At 45.3% G+C, this 21,500-nt stretch overlaps 1 protein-coding gene across 1 annotated transcript in view, besides 6 other annotated features; it reads right to left on the bottom strand.

The window, feature by feature from the left end:
* Window positions 1-14,703, bottom strand: part of ACKR3 (atypical chemokine receptor 3) — a 45,233-nt gene extending 30,530 nt beyond the window's left edge. The window contains exon 1 of the mRNA XM_005246098.4: window positions 14,478-14,703. The gene's annotated coding sequence lies outside the window, so the exon portion shown is untranslated. The remainder of the gene's footprint in view (window positions 1-14,477) is intronic.
* Window positions 198-988: an enhancer, noted in NCBI's record as "H3K4me1 hESC enhancer chr2:237459480-237460270 (GRCh37/hg19 assembly coordinates)". NCBI's record gives its function as "activates a minimal SCP1, AML or CMV promoter by ChIP-STARR-seq in primed H9 embryonic stem cells {active_cell/tissue: H9 hESC(primed)}" and the evidence as "EXISTENCE:reporter gene assay evidence [ECO:0000049][PMID:30033119]".
* Window positions 1,066-1,565: an enhancer, noted in NCBI's record as "H3K4me1 hESC enhancer chr2:237458903-237459402 (GRCh37/hg19 assembly coordinates)". NCBI's record gives its function as "activates a minimal SCP1, AML or CMV promoter by ChIP-STARR-seq in primed H9 embryonic stem cells {active_cell/tissue: H9 hESC(primed)}" and the evidence as "EXISTENCE:reporter gene assay evidence [ECO:0000049][PMID:30033119]".
* Window positions 5,403-5,452: an enhancer, noted in NCBI's record as "active region_17359". NCBI's record gives its function as "activates an Ori minimal core promoter by ATAC-STARR-seq in GM12878 lymphoblastoid cells {active_cell/tissue: GM12878}" and the evidence as "EXISTENCE:reporter gene assay evidence [ECO:0000049][PMID:35858748]".
* Window positions 6,573-6,702: an enhancer, noted in NCBI's record as "active region_17358". NCBI's record gives its function as "activates an Ori minimal core promoter by ATAC-STARR-seq in GM12878 lymphoblastoid cells {active_cell/tissue: GM12878}" and the evidence as "EXISTENCE:reporter gene assay evidence [ECO:0000049][PMID:35858748]".
* Window positions 13,562-13,611: an enhancer, noted in NCBI's record as "active region_17357". NCBI's record gives its function as "activates an Ori minimal core promoter by ATAC-STARR-seq in GM12878 lymphoblastoid cells {active_cell/tissue: GM12878}" and the evidence as "EXISTENCE:reporter gene assay evidence [ECO:0000049][PMID:35858748]".
* Window positions 14,715-14,934: an enhancer, noted in NCBI's record as "active region_17356". NCBI's record gives its function as "activates an Ori minimal core promoter by ATAC-STARR-seq in GM12878 lymphoblastoid cells {active_cell/tissue: GM12878}" and the evidence as "EXISTENCE:reporter gene assay evidence [ECO:0000049][PMID:35858748]".

Below are 21,500 nucleotides of genomic sequence, written 5' to 3'. Positions count from 1 at the left end.
GGCTCAGAGAACTAAGGGCAAAGGGAGCCAAGCCCATCAAGGTCTTGGAGGTCTGGGCTGAAATATAAATCAATGCTGGTTCACACTGAAAAGGAGAAGTATAACATTGTTTCCAAACAGTCCAAGGCACATTTTGGTATTTGCAAATATTCCATTTTGCCTTTTAGAAGCCATTGTTCTACTAGACCAGAGGGGGAAAGGGGAAGGAGTCTGGACACAGTCCATTTTTACATTGGAGTCAGTTAGGCTGCAAATCAGCTGGTGTCTGCACCCAGTTTTCCCACAGAGACAATACACACTGGGAGATTCAGGTGGCAGGATGGCCCCTGATGTCAGCTCACCCACAGCACTGCCGGACTGCTGTGCCCACCCAGTACCTCAGGGTTTCAAGGGGAAATGCTGTCTGAGTCCCTCCTGGGGGCCAGGAGCACACTTTCCTTCCTGCAGCCACAAGGCTGGACTTGGGGGCAGCCACCTCCAGCTCCAAGCCACCAGTGGGGTCTCCTGAGGCTTGACAAGGGACTCAAATGGCCGGGTAGGAGGGGAAATGGGGCTTGGGGCATGAAGCCTGAGAACTGGACTTCCTGGCTGTGCCCATATGCAGAGCCCGGAGCACCGGGAGGCTGAGGGAGAAGAGGCACCAAGCTTCCACTTCTCCTGGTGCTCGCCGGGTTCCTCCCAGCCCTGCCCTCGGGAAGTGTGAGATGCAGAAGCAGGGCCTGAACTTGTGGAAGAGCCCAGCAGGGTAGGTGTGCCTACAGGGCTGAGGAAGGCAGGGAAACTGAGGCAGAAACTTCCACAGGGAAGAAGGCACTGTCCCCATAACAAGGACTTACAAACAAGGTGGAGGATTGGTAATACGAAACCAAAAGGAAGGGCCCGGGCTTTCCAGCTGTAGGAAATAGAAAGGTAAGAGTCATTCTTGCAGCCACCCAGCCGGGGCAGCCGTGTGTGAATGCACATGACACGGAAAGTGGTTTCATGAACAATAAACATAAGGACAGCAGTAAGAAATATGTATTGAGTAGCCGCTCGTTAATGGAGACTTTGACTTTGCATTGCTCTTTGAACCCTGGTGACAGCCCTGCAGAGAATTACTAAGACACCCATTTTACCAATGAGGGGCTGAGGCTCCGAGAGGTTTCATGCCTTGTCCAAAGCCTTGCTCAGCGACAAGATGTCAGGTCAGTCCCCAGGTGACTGAGGGAGACTGGATTCATTTGCTCTCTGAGAGCCCACATTGCCGGAAGCTAAGTCTCAGGCCTGCTCACCCCTAGCCTCACCCTTGGTGCAGACCACCTACCTGAAACCAAGCAGAGTAATCTCACAAGCTGGATATCCTCAGAAGGTGCTGCCATCAATCAGCATGTATTTTACTGCCCGATGACGTGAAGAATGTTGACACATCAGCCCTAACTACACCAATGGAAACTGAAAGGTTTTCTTTTGCCAAGGTGAGCAGCGTGCACACTGGCCTGGCAGATGTGTGCGCAGCCGGGTACCCTGCCACCCCCAACATCTCCCATGCGGACCTCGTCTTGCAAAGCCATACTGCCACATTACGTGTCCAGTGGACACCAGGGGCAGGCACGAAGAAGGATGTTGTTGAATTCTCCTCACACACCGCCTTCACTGTGCAGAATGGCCAGGAAGAGCCAGCCCCTCGCATGGCCTTAGGGATGGAAACAGACTATGCACCCACAGGAATCCACGTTGCTGCAGTTTGGCTGTGGCAATAGAACTGGAGCTGTTGATGAACCTGCATTTAAAGAGCCCTTGTCAAAAGGGCCCCGGGTACCTGGGCAGACAGTGCCCTGCCCACAGCAGGCAGCCTTAGCATAGGCCCTCACAGTTGGGGATGTCAGAAACACCAGACAGCTAGAAATTCCCTCCGTCACATTAGAGAAACAGATGATTTGTAAACACTGTTTACCCATCAGTCCTCCAGAAATAAATGGATGGACAGTTCACAGCCAATTTTCTTCTGCCAAACCCAAAACAGATAATGTCCACTTTCAAAATACACTTCCCAGGGATGTACAGGGCTCCACCATAGTTGCACCTGACACAGCTATGGAGGGCAGGTCCGTGGTGGCTCGTTCCCTTTCACCCATGGGTTGGGTGGGACACGGACCACACACAAGTCTTCCAGCACCAACTATGATCCTACTACTGTTCTCACACCCAGAAGTGCAGCCAAGGGAGGAGGGTGCTGCCCTAATGAACATCTTGACTCCACTATTATTTAGTTAAGAATTAAATCGCTTGAAAAACTACTGGCCACATATCTCCCAGTAGACCAGACACACCACTTAGTCAAGAGGCCTCATGAAGACTAATCTTTCAGAGAGACAGACATGCCACCTCACTGTGTGAGGGGACCCAGAGGATGTGAGCCTTCAGGTCATTAAGGAGGAATGCAGGATACCTAGGTTACCCTGCTGGCAGGGACAGGGAACTGATGGAGCCCTCAGCAGGGGAGACTATGTAGGCTTCCACAAAAGGGTATGGGCAGGCTTACAGAGGCCAAGGAGGGACCGTGGAGCAGGCTGGGGCTGGCAAAGGTGGAAGCTGCTCCCTTTCCGCTCACTCTACCTTTGGGTCTGCAGGGTCGGAGCTAGGGCTGGAGGAGAAGACACAGGAAGAGGGCAGGGGCAGAGACCTGGACCTGAAAAGTGTCTCTGCTCAAATTTGTTGGAAATGAGAAGAGCTTATCTCATATTGGATAAGCAAAGTTTACCATGAGTTCTTAGTAACACATTAAAGCAGTCTCAGGTTCCTTCCAAGGTGGACCTAAGGTAATTAAGGTTTTTCACTTAATTAAACTATGCCAATTTTCGACCAAAAGATGCTCAAGTTAAAGTTGTAAGAATAGCTTTAAATATGTGCGCCCTTGTTGCTTGTCATCAGGAATGACACTCCAGAATGATCGTATGACCTCTTTAGATGCATGTGCACGAGCTTTTAATAAGCTAGTTGGCAAGAAACTCATCCAGTAAGTATAAATCACAATTAAATAAATACTGAACTGTGCTTATGTGAGTTTTTATTGGCTGTTATGTCAGAGAAGGTCAACATCTGCAACTCTCTTCAAACAATGCTCCATAGTCTCTGCCATTAGAGAGTCACATGGAGCTCTCCTCCTAAGTTGAATGATAACTCTTGCCCGTAAGGTTTACAGTGTCCTTGCTCAGCTGTCCTCTTCCTGAATTGGTTTGCTCATGAAAGACGGGGCAGGTGACAAAGCTGAGAAGTCAGATCAAAGACCTCCCTGCAAGATGCCACACCCTCCCTGGGAAGATTAACGAGGGAGATGGTGAAAATCTTACCATCTTAACCTAGGTTCTGGTGGGAGGGAGAAAAAATGTTCCCTGAGAATTCAAAATAACATACCAGACTTTATGTGGGTTTAGGGCCTGATTTCATAACATCTTTGTGGTCCAAAAATATCTTGGCTAAGAATTCAGTTTAAAGTAGGCCTTCATGCAGTAGCCAGATTGAAACAAACACACATGCTTTCTGGGAGAGGCATTCTCAACCTAGGCCTCAAACCATTCCCTGAATACCACTGATCATGAGTTCATAAGAAAAAAAATTAAATCATAAAATACATGAAAAAACCCAAGATACTATGAGAATTAAGCAGGAACAACAAACAGCAGGATCAAACCTGTAAAACTATAGTTATTAAAATTATCAGATACAGACTGCAACATTAGAATGTAGAAAAAAACATAGACATGGGAAATGGGAAGGAGAAATGAAAACTAGGAAAGGCCAGTGGGAATGTGGAAGATATGTCTAATTGCAATTCCAGAAGGAAAGACTTCAGAGAATGGGATGACACAACAATCAGGGAAAGTGGCTCCTCTGAGTTTTCCAAATTGATGAAAGACACAAATCCTCAGATTCAGGAAGCACAACAAATCTCAGGCAGAAGGCATTGGAAGAGCTAGCACCCAGATACGCTGTAAAAAAAAAAAAAATGAATGAAAGATAAGAGGGAAGATCTTAAAAGCAGCCTGGAGAAAAGGCAGACTGCACAAAGAATAGGCAATTAGATTGAAATATGACTTTTCAGCTGCAAAAATGGAAGCCAGAAATCAGTGGATTCATATCTCTAACATGATGAAAGATCACAGCTGTCAATCTAGAATTGTAAGCCCAGGATAATTACCTATTAAGAATGAGTGCAAAAATTTAAAAAACATTTTAACTATCAAAAAATTGAGTTTTCTGCCAGCAAAGCTTCCTTAAAGGAACTTCTCAAAAGGTTCCACTACTTAAAGGAATAAAATGGTCTCAGGAAAAAAATGGTCTGATATGCAAGAAGGAAACGTGAACAAAGAAAATAATCTGCTTGTCGGTAAATCCAAACCAACTTTATACATATATTTGTGGAGCCTATTCTTTTGTGTATAAAGAATATACATTCTTTGACAGATAAGCCTAGAGATAAATTTGCCTCTCTAAAGAACATTTCTCAGTTAGGACCTGAACTTCCATAAGTATACTAACACTTTTATACTGTAGGACTTGAAATATGTTAAAAAGCAAGAAGAAAAAAACAAGAATAATATTTGTAAACAGTCATTAGCTCTCTATAAAGAGGCTCTGGGCAACTTTTATTTCCTTCTTCACACTGTACTAGGTTTTCTGCAGTTTCTAGAATCATTATTGCTGAGGTCTCACAACCACCTGTCATCATGACAATGTGTGTCTATGGACAGGGGTGATGGATGCCATCTAAGACAGGTGGAATAAGAAGTCTCCACCAACCTCCAACTCTCTGACTCTAGAGTCAATGCTGCTGAAGCCCGACAAGAGAGGATGTACTGTTCAGGGGAAGACAAAAGTCACAGGGCCAATGCTGCATTGATTTACAGTGGGAACAACCACCTCCAAGGCCAGCCCCTTTCTCTCCCTGTAGGCAGCTCTTAGAGAGAAGCCAAAACATAGTGAGAACATGCTTTCACTGGGGTGGATTCAGAGCAAAGGAAGTGGGCTAAGTGAGCCTCCTGCATAACGGTCACAGGAAACACAGCCTCCTTGCCCTTCCTGCCAGTGGGCTGGGTCGCCCAGTCCCCTGAACGAGGCTCCCCATCCCCAGGCAGGGTCTGGATGGCACTGCCCACATCTGTTTGCCTCTGGTGCTCTGCGCACTCTCTGCTGCCCAGGTTCTCCAACCCTCTCTTCCTGTAGTGAGTAAAGCTTCAGGCAGGAGGGTGGTCACGTCTGGCAGGCCTGAGCGCCCTCTCCACGGTGACTGGCTGTCTGCTCATCTTTGGATGTTACAATTTAAATCTCAGAGCACACTCTGATACCTGTAAATTTAATTTATCATTATAACCACCAAAAACTGACAACAAATTTTATTAAATTTATAGTGGAAAAGTATCTATGTAGTAAAAATCACAATGTGAACTAGCCCTGCCCTTGTGGAGAGAGATGGACTCAGAGAGACAGAGGGGGAACTTCATTGATCACTGAAGTCAAGAGGTGTGTGTCAGTGAGTGGGCCCTGAGAAGCCGTCCTTCCAGAAGGAGGCCTCAAAGAGGTCCTTTTCCCCCAGGGGCACACCTGTCATCAAAGTACCCATTGTGCCTACAACGATGTAAAAAATCATCTTCCTATCACAAATTCAACAAACTTAGCTAATTATCTAGCTTCTCCTGGGACCAAGAATCGTTAGAAAGAAAATTCTGGTACGGGAGCAAAACATCGCATCGTTGGTGCTTCACAACTCACAAAACGTGGTCCTGTATTTTCTCCAGGAATACATGCAATGAGTCTCTGAAAAGGAAGCAAAACTTACAGTGGTGAAACGTGGCCCCTCCTTTGTAGTCGTGCTGAGAAACAGAGAACAGCTGTCCACAACTTCATTTCCTTTCTCGCAGACTTTAAAGTTGGGGCTTTTCAATTCTCATTACGCCGTATGTTTTCGGTGTGTGAAATTCAACAATGATACACTAAACCAGGCAAATAATTTAATAAATAAACATGACTTCTCTTTCTAATAATATAAATTTATTTGGCTTGGAAAACACAGTGAGCTCTCCCCATAAGAACTGTAAAGTATATTCCCAGGGGTTTTATTTTACATCCCCAGATAGAAGAGATTCCGTGTCATATACCATGAAATCGTAGTGTTTCATAACCAAGTTGTAAAGTGCAGCACTGAAAGTTGATTTTGTCCGTCTGCCACACTTTTATTGACGATTTGATACACTCATTCTTCCCCGGAGCCCTAATATTTTGTGCACTCTTCTTGCCATACCTTGAACATCATCGTCTAAACATTGATTGGCTGCCTGTGGCACTCTGGCTCCCAGATCCTGGGGTGTAGCATGTGTCTTTCCTACAGACATCTGCACAAATGCGGAAGAAATGTCAAATAGAAACCCTGAGTTTCTACGTGATGTGACTTTGAGACGGTAAATGAAGCGGAAAGCCTGGGTGTTGTCTTCTTAGGCAGGGTGACAGAAGGAGGGCTCTGGATCCCAGCAGAGGGGGCATTTCAGACCCGTGAGTGAGCCCACCAGGCACGAACTCTCAAACTCCCTTGGGCGACAGAGCCCCTGGAAGTCAGGGCGTTTGTCTCACATCCTTCAGTTGCTAGAAACAGAAGCCCTCCCAGCCACATGGAAGCTTCTAAAGATGACGAAGGCACAGAAAGGACCCGGGGTGTCCCACAGAATCCAAGGGCAGTGAAGGCGAATACCCTGAGTGACTATAGTGAACAAGCATGCCCGGCAGCCCCAAGATATCAGGCTCCTTGGGGGCCATGTGTCTTCCCCACCTCTGCTCTGCCCTGGTTGCCAGCCACCACCTGTGGACCAGAGTTCTCCTCTTTGGAGTGAAAACTAGTGGCCTGAGTTTTCTACAAATATATCCAAGTGTCCCCAATTAAAAGCAAACCAACAAACTCCATATTCTGTCTTCTATATTATGTTATACTTTCTAAGATTCTAAAACAATTGCCTGCACTCCGTGTCTCTACTTTCTCCCAAATCTAGCCCACATCTCTCTCCCAAGCACAAAACCTGGTACCTCGAATTCCTGGTCTGAGCCAGTCATTATCCCCCTGACCCCACTTTTCCTTTTATTCCCTCAGCTCGGTTACAAGACCACCATCCATCCAGGGGCTCAGCCCAGAATCCCGGGGACCGTCTTCATTCTGCCTTCGTCTTCAACATCTGCTCGTCCCTATTCCCATCGACTCAGGCCTTCAGGCATCTCTCCAGCCTGCCCTGAGCTCTCCAACCCAAGCTACGAGCCCTCAGCCTTGCAGGGCCTGTGCTCGCACAGCAGCCCCCCAGCCCTGGCACTGGTCTCCCTGCCTCCAGACCTAGCAGTCATTTTCTCCGACCTGCTCCGACAGGAAGCCACTGATCATACGATGCATATGATGCATACAACGCAAAGCTGATCATACGATGACCCCTGACCCAACTGAATGCCTTCCCCCCATCCACAGAAGCTGTAATAACCTTTCTGAATCCTGGATCCTTTTTTGTCCTTATAAAGATATGAACCCCTCCGGGCGCGGTGGCTCACGCCTGTAATCCCAACACTTTGGGAGGCTGAGGAGGGCAGATCACAAGGTCAAGAGTTCGAGACCAGCCTTGCCAATATGGTGAAACCCCATCTCTACTAAAAATACAAAAATTAGCCGGGCATGGTGGTGGGCACCTGTAGTTCCAGCTACTCGGGAGGCTGAGGCAGCAGAATCACTTGAATCCGGGAGGCAGAGGTTGCAGTGAGCCGAGATCACATACTGCATTCCAGCCTGGGTGACAGAGCAAGACTCTGTCTCAAAAAAAAAAAAGTGTATATATATATATATATATATATATATATATATATATATATATATATATATACCCTTCTCCCAGGAGAAAAAATTGCACATATCTGTAACCACTATGTCATTGAACAAGCACAATTCAATTCGTGGATATAACGATATAGTAATTTTATTTTGAATCCCATCAATCTTTCAAATTTACACTGGATGCTGAATCTTCTCCTGCCCTTGAATGAAATTTAGGTCACATTTCATCAGTATTCTGGTCACTTCCAGATAATACAAGTGACCATCCAAGGTAGTAGTTCAAACATCCAGCGTAGTGACTCCATTAAAATGTGCGATTTCACTTGCAGTTACCCCTCCCTGCCGGTCCATGCCTTCTGTAGACTGGGCACCCACTCTGGAGGGTGAGGGCTTCATCTCTTTACCCATGGTATACATTTATCCATCCACTCCCCTGGGGGTGGGATTGGGACTCACGACATATCAATAACTCTCTCCAAAATCTTCTTTTTATCTCCAAGCCTTTTTCTATACTCTCAGTGTGGGTAAAGGGTTAAGAGTAATAAAGCTGCCTGTTTTCTTCACCACCTCCTGCAGAGTGGCCTCAAACTTTGCTTTGGAACATAGCAGTCATTTTCTTGGGGATCCTCTGAAGCTGAGCAAAATGATTCCACTTTTATATCCTGCTCCATATCATTTCCACAGGTCCACAAAACGTGAGCCCCATCCTCCCAGATGGGTGCCTGCCACTGATCCACATCCCCTGAGTCCAAGAGAGATCCCCAGAGGCAAGTGGGTCTCCTTCTCACCTTCACCTCTCTCTGTCCAAAGCAACCTCATTTTCCTTGTCTGCTAGAATAACTCTCACTCATTTGCTTTGAAAATATATGTCCAAGTAGCACCTCACCTGGGAAGATTCCCTGATTTCTTCCTAAGTTCGGTAAAGCATTGATTGCACCCAACTGTCATTGCTTTATTTCCCAGTCTTCCACAATGAATTTGTAGTCCTGGAGGGCAAGAGCCACATTCTTTGTAGCCTTGACATTTATCACAGGGCCCGCATATAGAATGTATTGTACAAGTAGTAACTAATGGATGCTGTTTAGAACAAAATCTGTACCACTCCTTCCTAACCCAAAACATGTGTAAATAGGATTATAAGATTCATGCTGCCAATTTGGTTTGATGGTATAAAAGACCCAAGAGATAGTCCACATGCTGTCGGATAATTATTGAGTCAAAGCTATTTGGAAAATTTTCCAACTTGTTTTTTTAGGCAGTGTGCCTCTACATAAAGAGGGGTAGTAATTTTGAAGAGAGGGGGTCCCAGTCTCCTGCAATTGCTGGTGTAAATGAGTGGCACAAAGGCAGACACAGATGGGGACATACAGCCCAGGGCGCCCACCACTGGCCACGCCGTCTCCTGGACGGACCTCTGGAGACTGGTTATGAGGTTGTTCTTAGCTGGATTCCATCATAATGCTCTACATGATATTGCAAATTAATACAGTGTCCCCAGGCAAGTCTGTCTACAGCAGGGAGATGTCGGTCCCTAAAATGACTGCCTCAGTCAGGATGAGCCCTTCCTCTTCCCACACAGCAACAGCACATTATGAAAAGTCAACTGCTACCTTGCCTCCCTACCAGCAGAAAGGTCATGTCCAGTGATGTGCTGGTGTTTAACAATCTGCTCCTTGAGGGGGAAAAAAGCTTTAATTTTTAGCTCTTGCCAATGTCTATAGCGTAAAAACTCCCATCTTGGCTGATTGGAAAATATCAACATGATGTCACTGAACATGGGCTTGGGAAGAGACAGTGCAATCTGTCTCTTGTTAGGCCCTAAATTTTCATCACCAAGAGGTCCATCACTAAGGTGGAGGCACATCTCCCTGCTGTAGACAGACTTGACTGAGCATACTGTATTAACTTGCAGTAGCATACAGAGCATTATGGTGGCATCCAGCTGAATTTGTAGATTGTTTATGTGTTGTTTTAGTTCGTTCTCATGCTGCTAATAAAGACATACTCAAGACTGTGTAATTTATAAGGAAAAAAAAAAGAGGTTTAATAGACTCACAGTTCCACATGGCTGGAGAGGCCTCACAATCATGGCAGAAGGTGAAAGAGGAGCAAAGTCACATCTTACGTGGTGGCAGACAACAGAGCATGTGCAGGGGAACTCCCATTTATAAAACCATCAGATCTTATGAGACTTATTCACTACCAGGAGAACAGTATGGAGTAAACTACCACCATAATTCAATTATCTCCACCTGGCCCCACCCTTGACATTGGGATTATTACAATTCAAGGTGAGATTTGGGTGGGGACACAGCCAAACCATATCATTTTTATACCCACTATACAGGCGTTAAGTGTACGTGGTCCCTGCTGTGTACGTGGTTCTGTGCTAAGTCAAACAAAACACGGAGCAGCAGGTCTGTGCTAGGACACAGGCAACCCGTTACTCTCAATAAAGTACCAAATAAGAAGTACTGACCCTTGGGAGATTTTCTTTATAATAATATGACTCAATCATTTTGACTTAGATGCACATTTCTGAGAAGGAGAGAAAGAGGTGGAATCCCAGTTCTTGGACAGGGGAATTCTTTAGAAACTTGAATAAGGCTATGGGAGTGTGTCAGACGAGGGATGTTTCATGAACCACACGTTCTTTGGTATTTAAAAAAGGCTGAAATTCCTGGTATTAACACATAACCACTGGCATTTGTCTGTTGTGGTAACATTTTTGGAGCAAAAGTAGAAAAAGACTGAAAGTTAAGAAATTAGAAATGCAAAGTAAGCTTTATTTTTAAGAACTTTCAACAACTTATACTTTTATAATCTTATACGATTATTGCAGAGAGGAAGGGAAAATACATGTTTTCTACAGTGATATCAGGTAAGGATAGCCAGTCAATGCTTTTTTATAGATTAGCCCAGAGACAGGGTCAGAAACAGATCCAAGCCACTACAGGTACCAATGTAAAAATGTAGAGATGCTAGCAAGGAGCTGTGCAGTAAGATGTCCCCAGTTGTCTTGGCTTGGATTCTGCCAGAAAGTGGAGTAATCTATAACAGGTATTTGGGTACAAGTGATTTAAATACTTACTATAAAGTTACAATAATCACGACTGTGTGCTATTGTGTAAAGACAGATGTGCAAATTCATGGAGCAGGATAGACCCTAGAAACAGGCACACACATACATGATTGATCAATTTCCCACAAAGACACCAATGCGATCAATGAGGAAAGGGTGGTCTCTTCAGTAAATGGAGGAAAAATGTGGATAACCACGTGAGGAAAAAAATGAACCTCAACCCTTATTTTGCACCACACATTAAATTCATTCCAAATGGATCCTAGATGTAAATGTAAAAGATTAAATTATATAACTTATATAAGGAAATAAATGTTCTGTGACCTTGAGGCAGGAAGATTTCTTAGAACATGAAAAACACTAAACATTAATGTAAAAAATGACAAATTTGAGTTAATCAAAGTAAAACCTGCTGCTTTTCAAAAGACACCTATAAAAATGAAGAGGCAAGTCAGAGACTGGAGAAAGATATCTGCAAAGGGCTGGTGTCCAGAATATAGAAAGAACCCGTATAACTCAATAAGAAGACACATAACCTAACAAAAAAAAAAACAGACAAAAGACGAACACAAAATTTATTTACATACATGAATGGTCATTAAGCAAATGAAAAGATTTTCAACTGAATTATCATCAGAGAAACACAAATTAGAACCACAATTCTTAGACACTATTTTACAATTACTACAATAACTAAATAAAAACACAGACAACGTCGAGTGTTGGCAAGAATGAGGAACAAGTGGAATACTCACATATTGCTGGCCACAGTGTAAAATGGTACAGCCATTTTGGAAAACTGTTTTGCAGTTTCCTATAAAGTTAAATGTACACTTACTATATGATACAGTTGGCTGTGTCCCCACCCAAATCTCACCTTGAAATGTAATAATCCTCCTGTGTCAAGGACGGGGCAAGGTGGAGATAGTTGAATCATGGGAGCAGTTTTCCCCATTCTGTTCTCATGGTAGTGAATAAATCTCATGAGATCTGATGGTTTTATAAATGGGAGTTCCCCTGCACATGCTCTCTTGCCTGTTGCCATGTAAGACGTCCCTTTGCATCTCCTTTGCCTTCCTCCATGATTGTAAGGCCTCTCCAGCCATGTAGAACTGTGAGTCAGTTAAATCTCTTTCCTTTATAAATTACCCAGTCTCAGAAATGTCTTTATTAGCATCATGAGAACAGACTAATACAATATAAGATCCAGCAATTATACTATTAGGTATTTACCCAAGAAAAATGAAAATAATGGCTGGATGTGGTGGCTCATGCCTGTAATTCCAGCACTTTGGGAGGCCAAGGCGGATGCTCATGCCTATAATCCTAGCATTTTGGGAGGCTGAGGCAGGTGGATCACTTGAGGTTAGGAGTTCGAGACCAGCCAGGGCAACATGGTGAAACCCTACCTCTACTAAAAATACAAAAACTAGCCAGGCGTGGTAGTGAACACCTGTAATCCCAGCTGCTAGGGAGGCTGAGGCAGGAGAATTGCTTGAACCCAGGAGGCAGAGGTTCCAGTGAGCCGAGATCGCACCACTGCACTCCAGCCTGGGTGACAGAGTGAGACTCTGTCTAAAAAACAAAAAAAAAAAAAAAAAAGAAAAGAAAAATGAAAATAATGTTTACACAAAGAGAGAGAGAGAGAGAGAGACACACACACACACACAAATGTGTCTATCAAAACTCATAGAAGTATTATTCACAATAGACAAGAACTGGAAACAACCCAAAGGCCCATCCAGACGTGATAATAAACTGTAGTATTTTCTTACAGTAGAATACTACTCAATAATAAAAAGGAACAAACTACAATAGAGGCAGCAACAGGGATGAATCTCAAAATAATATACCAAGTAAAAGAAGCAAGACACAAAAGAAGGCATACTGCATCATTCCAGCTACATGAAGTCCTAGAACCTGAGAGCACAATCTATAGCCCTGACCAGAAAGGTGAGCCAACACAGCCTGTCCGCGCCTACTTTGCCCTGAGCTAGAGTATCCAGGCTTAGCAAATAAAAATACAGGATGCTCAGCTAAGTTTCAATCTCAGGGAAACCACACATCACTTCTTAGGATAAGAATATCCCAAGCAATATCAGAAATATGCATGACATCTACCTGCATGGAACATACTTATACTGAAAAACTATTCCTTGTTCATCTGAGATTCAATTTTAATTAGGCAGTCTGTATTTTATCTGGCAACCGTGCCTACACTGTAGTTTGCTGTTGGCTTTTTAAGGGCAGGGCAGATATCTACTCATCAAGAGGTCCACTAGACTTGGTCTTACCCCAGCCACTTCTCAGAAGACAGAAAGCAAGCTCTGCCCCGGTCCACCTTAGAACTGCAGCCCCTTTCCATGCTTGGGGCCAGTTTTGCCATTGATTTCTCCAAGGGACTCCTCAGTAGGAGGGTGGGGGTGGCAAGTCTTGCCATCCATCCAAGGTCAGGGTGGTGAGCCCACAGCACCTGGCTTCCGCTGTGGCCACAGACAGAGCCCAATCTCTGACTCGGATGGATCCTTTTGACCACGTTTTTAGTATTTCAAGTTGTGAAAATATATCATCACTGTGTTGCTGTTTCATTTCGGCAATCTGTGTCTGTTCTGCTTTTCTTTTCAGGAGACATCTAAAGCTCCTGTTACTTTGCAGAACACACTCAATAACAGTTAATCAAGTCAGGGATTATGGCCACACAAGGTTTTTAGCAAGTTTCTGAGAAGTCAAATACCAGGTGTGATGTGTGCTAGTATTAACCACGCTGCCCAAGGAAAGGATCTGGCTTATGTATATTGCTTTTCACGCTAGAAAAAAAAAAGAAAACAAAACCTCTTTGAATCAAGACCTGTTAAGAGTTGTTTGGGGAATTATTTTTAAAAGAACTATTCTTTTTGGAATACCTACTTCCAACATAAACACTTTCTTATTAGGTTATTTTTATTTTTCTAGCCTAGCAACTAAAAAAATGTAATCTGCAGAACTGATTGCCTAATAGAAGCACATTTGCTTGCTTGCTTGAAAGAGCATGAATACGCATTAGTGAAAGAAAGAAAACTGAATTTGATAAGAACATTAACCCTTTTGGAGAAAATGCAGACAAAAGTAAAGGCGGTGGAAGAGAGCACGTGGGTGATGAAGCTGGGACACATTTTCCCTCCCTCCAGTTCTTGGAAAATTCCTAATTCTGGCTCATAAGTAATAGTAGCAAAAAGGTAAAAACATAAAATTAAAGCAGCCACGTAAAGAGGCAAAATTCTTGGGATTTAAGCCATTCAGAAGGACAAGTTGTCCAGGTCTCAATGTGTACAGAGATATCCAAGGGGCCCTGTACCACTTGCATTTATGCCAGGGTGGCCCAATGGAGAACTGCTGTTCAAACTTCAGGGTCATGGATTATTATGACACTAATAAAAATGATGAACCTGCTTCCTAGAAAAAAGCATATGCACCCATGGGCCCATACATTTACAGGCCATTCGAGAGGCTGAGACACTGCCCCAAGCCTATTCATGGAGCCCTGGTAACAATCCTTGTACTAGGCAAAACCAGCCTCCTTACCAGCTTCTGCCTCCTCCTGGCTCATCTCCACCAGCCGCTCACACTTAGGACCAAGGCAGGCTGCCCCTGGGCTTGACCTTGGCCTCCTCCATTCTCCCTGTCAGCAGGTGGCAGCCATCCCATTGCTGGTATTCCTAGAATCCAATCAGGATTAGTAGACCGCTTGCCACAGTGCTACACAGCCAGGTAACACCGTGTTTAACCAAGCAGTGGTGAGAGATTTGGGGCAGGAAAGGGGCTGAGCTTCTGCAATGCAGACAGGCAGCGTGGAGCCTCCCAATACCACTTCCTGCAGGGCCCAGGGCAAGGCCCTTGCTCTCTCTGAGTTTCTGTGTCCTCATCTGTAAATGGGAATAATAACAGTGACTGCCATAGGAGCTGCAAGGAGGATGAGATGATATTATGCATATAAAAGTGCCAGACAGTCTCTAGGCACCTAGAACCCTCAAGGGGCCAGCTGTCATAACTGCCGACAGTTCACATGCGTCTGTGTTTCACTATTAGTTTCACTTCACACCTGCAGAGGGATTTACACACTGCAAGGCATTTCCTTTGGAAATTTATTATTGTAATTCCCTATTAACTCACAATACCCAGGAGATAGGAAATAAATTATTATTCCCATTTTACAGGTGAGAAGACTAAGACTCAGATAGATACGTTAGGTGAGTTGCTTTTCTTGACTCCCAAAGCTGGTACCTTCCCCCGGAATCAGGTCATCTAGCAGAAACCCAGGAATTGAAGGTGATCAATGTTCCCTCCCCCAGATAGAAAGACATGGGTTACCCACAAGCTACAACCAAGTTCATGAACAGTGCAGAAGCCTTTCTTGTTCCCGTCATATCACAGAGCTCTCTGCTTGAACTCAACGTCACGGCTTCTCATCCCACCTTTTACTCCAGCCACTGTGGCAGCAACAAGCTTCCTGCAGGAGGTACCTGTGGGCACCTTTTCTATGACACACGCATGGTGCCCACACAGCCTGGGAATGACTCTGTGTGGCAGCCCTGGACCAAGGGAAGGCATGTACTGGATGACGGCTCCTCCTTCTGTCCTCAGGCAGACCACTCTGAGAGGCAAGTCCCCCCCAGCTCCTCAGTGCCCAGTGGATGGGATCCGGCAGCCCACAGTGGCGGCCAGCCTGAGGAAGCACTGTGGAAGACCTTGCCCTTCTCCCCACTTCACTCTCTCAGCCCTGCTCCTGTTCCCTGATATGAGCTCCCCGAACAAACCCCATCATGCTAGGCCTAATACCTGGGAGGAACCCAGTCTCCAGCAGGAGCCCTTGCTCTTGTCTGTCTCCCTTTCCTCCCACTGCCCTCCCCACCATCCTCTGCACCCACCTCCCTCTGCTGGCCCAGCTAGGGGAGCCTACCGGACACCAAGAAAAACCTGTCTTTATAAAAGCTGCTGTGACTCAGGACTCAGAAGGTCCCCTACTCCACTGGGGCCTATCATGAGGTAGAGAATGGGAGGAGAGAGAGGACCAGGAAAAATAACAAATGCGTACTAGGCTTAATACCTAGGTGATTAAATGATCTGTACCACAAACCCCCCTGACACAAGTTTACCTATGTAACAAACCTGCACATGTACCCCTGAACTTAAAAGTTTAAAAAAAAGGACTCCCCTCCCAAGGGACTGGATCCCAACATCAAAGTTCCATGACTGATTGCCTGACATCAGCACTCCCCTTCCTCTGGAAGGCCCCAGCTTGAGATCCGGGCTTTCTTCCGTCATGGCCAAGCCAACTCTGCGGGGACAGAAGCACTGCTCCTAAACCCCCACCCCAGGGCTTCCGCCTTTCCACCCAAGGCGAGAAGCCAGCAACCTTCCCCAGCTTCCCTCGGATTCCTCCTTCCATGCGTGACCTTGATGGGAGGCCCTGACACTTCAGCCAGGGTAGTCTGGTGCCAATCTTGACTGGAGTCAGACCCACAGGTAGCTGATTTATTGGAGATAGAGTCTTCTTAGCAAGCCTCCACTTTCGGTTGATTCTACACCCAGGGCCTCACACACACCCATGCCTGCCTCATCCTGACCCACGGGTACAACACCAGGTTCATATCTGCCATGTTTGCATCAAGCACACCGCCAAGCTCTGCCTGTGAAACATTAGAAATACAATGAGTAATAACCACAGCATTCCCTGGCCTGGCTCCAAAAACACTGCATTGCTCCAAATCTGCTCCATCCTAGACCCCCAACCCAGTTTCCTGCTGAGGTTTCGGCTCTCTTCCTGACCCCTTCCGTGAGTGAGAAAATATGTGAATATGGAACTACAGGACTGGAAACAAGCATCCACATTTGCTAGAAAGTTTCCTCCTCAGAGCCGGAAGGGCCTGGAATCCTATGGAATTCAGAATAACCAGAAATGGACAAAACCTCCACTCGAATGGATGAAATTCCCCTGAATAATAATGATGGGAAATTGCTTGCCGTGTCCCAACAAGCCTTAGTGGGTCCCGCGGAAGGAGGCCATGGGGATGGAGCTTCTCAACCCCAACTGTCCCCTGTGAAAGCCCAGCCTGGCTTCTTTTTAGTTAGGATCCCAGCTGCATCCCAAGAGGCTGTCCAGGTCATTGCCCACTTTCTGAGCTGGGAAAACTCTAAATTCTAGCCATAGCGCCATACTATATCTGAGTAGTACATAGAAGAATCCTATGCCAGGCCATGAAGGACGAAAGAGACCCTCAGGAAGGCCACAGAAACACAGATTGTGAAAAAGCCTTTCCTTCACCATCAAATCCTTATATCTGTCTGTCCACCATTTTTGTCTAACCACTCAAGTCCCAGTAGTGGTAAGACCAAGACTCAAATTCAAGAACAGACCTCTTTTCCTCCTCTCCATCCTAACCAGTTGAAGAGAAATCCAGGAGAATTAGAACAGAGATCTCCCATTAAAAACACTTCCAAGATATTGCCTCAACTTGTTGAGTTGGAAAGGACTCAGCAACAACTTTCTCAGGCAAGTTGACTCCGAGGAAAACGAAGCAAATCATCCACATTAAAAGCTAGAATTCTTTGGAGGTGCTGCCTTCAAAGACCCAGTCCTTACAGTAATTCCACCCAAACATATTTGCCAAGAATTTCCTTCCCATCAGGCAACTCGCTCTCGGGGCTGGAGACATAAAGGGAAGGGACCCCATGCTTTTCATGTAGGAGACCCACGTGTTTCCCTGAGATCCCAAGACTGAGTCTTGTATGACAGTGGGACTGAGCAGGATAAAACCAAACACTTATGAACACCAGGGTTTGACGGGTAGCAATGCAAAGGCCCCAAACACCAGAAAGCAGAGCAAGGCCAGCGATTGCTGACACGTCAGCCATAGAAGTTGCAGAGCCAGGAGAGTCAGAGCTGGAGGAACCGAGGGCAGCAGGGGACAACTGTGAGCCACATCTCCCCACCTGCTCCCTGTTGTGGTCCTCCTGCTGTCCCCACACAAAGCCCATCAGCAAGAGGCCTGGCCTGGATGGGGAAGCAGATTGAGCCCAGACATCCTTGGTCCAAGAAAAGTAATCTTTAAAGTATACTTGGTTAGTGTTACTTTTATGAACTAGGCTATTTTTTATACAATTTTTAGCAAATATACTACATAAAGGGGAAATTTTCCCTAATATTTTAGGGAAGGTAACCATCACCATGCCATTGTCATGTGATAAACTACTTGTCACAAGGCCACTGTACGACTGTTCAGAGTTTGGTGCCTTTAAATCTGATCCCCATGGACCACACGCTAGAAGATTCCAGTTGGCAGAAGCATGTGATGCCATGAAACTCAGCAGGACAGGGACAAGGCAGCTGTTTCCTGTAGGGCTGTGCATCTCCACAGTGAGTGCTCGCCCAACCAGGCTGTCTCTGCTCTTCCATGAGTGGGATGAGAAGTGTTACAACCTGCAAATGCTTCCGATGGAAAGAGCCTTTGGGCTTCCTCTACCAGATCTTCTGGAGGTGGGGGTCTCAGCAGAAGCAGCTGACTGAGAACCATGATATTTCTTCTAATGGAAATGGGACATTTTTGTGGATGAGTGTTTGGGGGTCACACAAAAGGAGTTGTCTGATCAGTTTATAGATGTACAACGTGTCATATGGGTTCCTAATCAAGTCATCCTCAGGTAAGACTGGCACTAGATGGGGTAAGCGGTGTTCATGCCTCAAACCTATCAATGGCTTCACTTCACTTAGGCAAAACCAGACCTCAACCTACCCACCATCTCCTCTTCACCTTTAAAGAATAATCAGCAAAGATGTGCTCATCCATCTGTCCACTCATCTATCCATTCGTCCACTCATCCACCCACTTACTCATCCATCCACTCACCCATCCACTTATCCATTTATCCATCCATTTATGCAACCCTGCATTTGCTTACCAGATACACATTGAGTACTATCTAGGCACAAATCTAGGTGATCATAATTAAGACCAGTCCCTACCATCACAGAACTTACATTACCAAAAGGAATTAGGCAGTAAACAGATCAAAAATATATATGACACAATTTCAGGTGATGAAGTTATAAGAAAGAAAAGTTAGCAAGAGTTGATGGGGGACATGGAAGAACTATTAAGTAGAGGATAATTATCAGTCCCTGATTATTTGTAATGACTCTACCGCCATAGGTACAGAGCACACCATATCTTCTCTAAGCTGTATCAGACTATTTAAGGTTGACAGGAAGAGATATGCCCAGATTACTTTTGTTAATGAGAATCATTCCTAAGTATGTGTTGCCAAAATGCCTTTCAAACTTTATTCCAGTTTATAATCTGACCACAGCATATAACTGAGTGGGTCTCCAGATAACTCACTGACTCCTGGGTGTTATCATTATTTCCAGTCATTGCAATTTATAGATCCAAAACAATTTTTAAAATTTAATTTGCATTTCTTTTATGACTTGCCCATTCATGCCCTCTGCCAATCTCTTGTAGTGTTTTCCACACCCTCTTCTTCCAGCCTTACCCTGGTGCTCAATAAGCCACCCAAACACAGGGGCACCTGCTAGTCACCCATTGGTGTGCTGTGACAGACACCTGCCACTCCCACCAGAGAGCTTTCTGAGAGGTAGTGCCACAGGGAGCAGCCACAGCCGGTGCTGGGGCAGATGGAAGTTAAAGACTTCAGCTTCCTTGCTCTGCAGGTGGAGTAACTCTGGCTGTCTCATCATCACTCCTCAGTGGGAAGGAGCCCCAGAAGCCACAGTGGAAACCTGCCTGAACCTGCACCCTTTGTTGGTTTCTTTTTCTGTCCTGTCACATTTTTCCCACCCTGATAGCAGTGCTTTCTGGGATTGTCTGCCAAATACTCTACTTGCACTCAATTTCTTGCCTTAGAGTCTACTTTGGGAACCCAGCCTGAGAGAGTGTAATGAGGACATTTACTAGATTGGACTCAAGGCCCACAGTTCTTCAACAGCAAAGAGAGAAGTGATAAAATACAGCAGCCCAGTTCAGGCACCACTCCCATGTGCTGCCAATAAGGAGGGACCATGGACTAATGCCCGAAAGGAAATCAGAGGTTGGCTTGTGGACCAGCAGGCCAAATGCACGGGCACTCTCACCTGCTGTGTGACCCTCTTCACAGGGCTGGCCTCACCCCAGGGTCTACCTTTGTGGAGCTGTATCTAACACACAGCTGCAGACATCTGCTTACCTCAGATGCAATGCCTTTGGGCACCTGGCCTGTGAGTGATGGTGAAAGAGAGGACCATTTTCCAGGTGATCAAGGCAGTATTTGCCTTGAGGTTTCCCAGCCTTTCATATGTAGTACTTAAGCTCCTTGGATCCCATTCATGACTGTTGTGTGGACGTAACTTCAGAGGGTTTAGGAAAGTGGGGAGATGGGAAGAAGAGGCTTTCAACTCCAAAGAAGGAAGACATGATAGTGAGGCAGCACCATAAGAAGCCACATGGGGTCTGAGCGTGCTGACAGGGTGACTCCAGGATCTCAGCCTGGGAGGCAGCTGGCTCGTCTACTGCGAATGCTTCCCTAGACCACCAGAGCTGTGGCACAGACACCTGCTCTCCACAGATGAAGGGAGCACCAAATTGTGCAACGAGGCCTTTTCTTTTCATGGTTCTATGGTTTTAAAAAAGTTTATATATTGGTGGGGAATACGCGGGTGAATACAAATGTCAGGTAATTCCACACCCACCACAGCTCTCCCTGGATTTTCTGACAGTTGTGTCTCTCTTCTAAAACTTCCCATTGTCTCTTTCAGCTAGTATGCCCAGATCCGTGTCATATTCAGAACCTGTGTAGAGAACTAGAGAAAGGCAAACCCAATTTTACACAGTCTATTCTCTGAATTACATACGTGGAAGATTTGGAGATGTTACCATGTCTCAGAACCTATTCAGCTCTGACTTTCTGATTGTTTTACTGTTGCTTGAAAATCTGATATAAATATGTTCATGTTGCCAGTAATCTTCAAAATTAACTGTATCATGGCTGTATTAGGGCTGACACTACAATTTATTTCACTGTTCTCCTAATATTGAATGCCACTTCTTTACTGAAAATTAATTTGTGCAGATAAACTTTTTCTCTCTTGGGAGAAATTCTCAGAAGTAAGTAGAGGTCATAACATTCTAAATCATTTCCCTTGGGGTGAGCAGTAGAGGGCAGTTATGTCCTCTGATTACTCCTGGGAGTTAACATTTTCTCACTTATTTGTACTGATTCTTGTGAAGATGTTTACTCATAATCTGCCTATTCACATGCTGACTACTTCGTGTGTTTCTTATCAATCTGTGTGGCTCCTGATGTAATATGAATATTTTCTCTGGGCATTCTAATGTAACCTTTTCCTAGTTAAGCTATGAGTGCTAAGCCTGCCTGACTTTAGATCCTGAGAGCCATCTATGGATCCATCTCTATGCTGTGCACAACAGCAGAGCATCCTATGAAGTCCTGAAGCAAATCAAATTCATCATTTTTTGAATGAACTCAAATGTCTTTGTACACGCAACAGAGAAAGCTGGGAGACAGACCTCCTGGTACTGCTGTCTGTTCCAC

This window comes from Homo sapiens, chromosome 2 (genome assembly GCF_000001405.40).
Source record: "Homo sapiens chromosome 2, GRCh38.p14 Primary Assembly".
NCBI classification, from domain to species: domain Eukaryota; kingdom Metazoa; phylum Chordata; class Mammalia; order Primates; family Hominidae; genus Homo; species Homo sapiens.
Note: the sequence above shows the minus strand (reverse complement) of the source record. Positions and strands in the feature narration are given on the sequence as shown.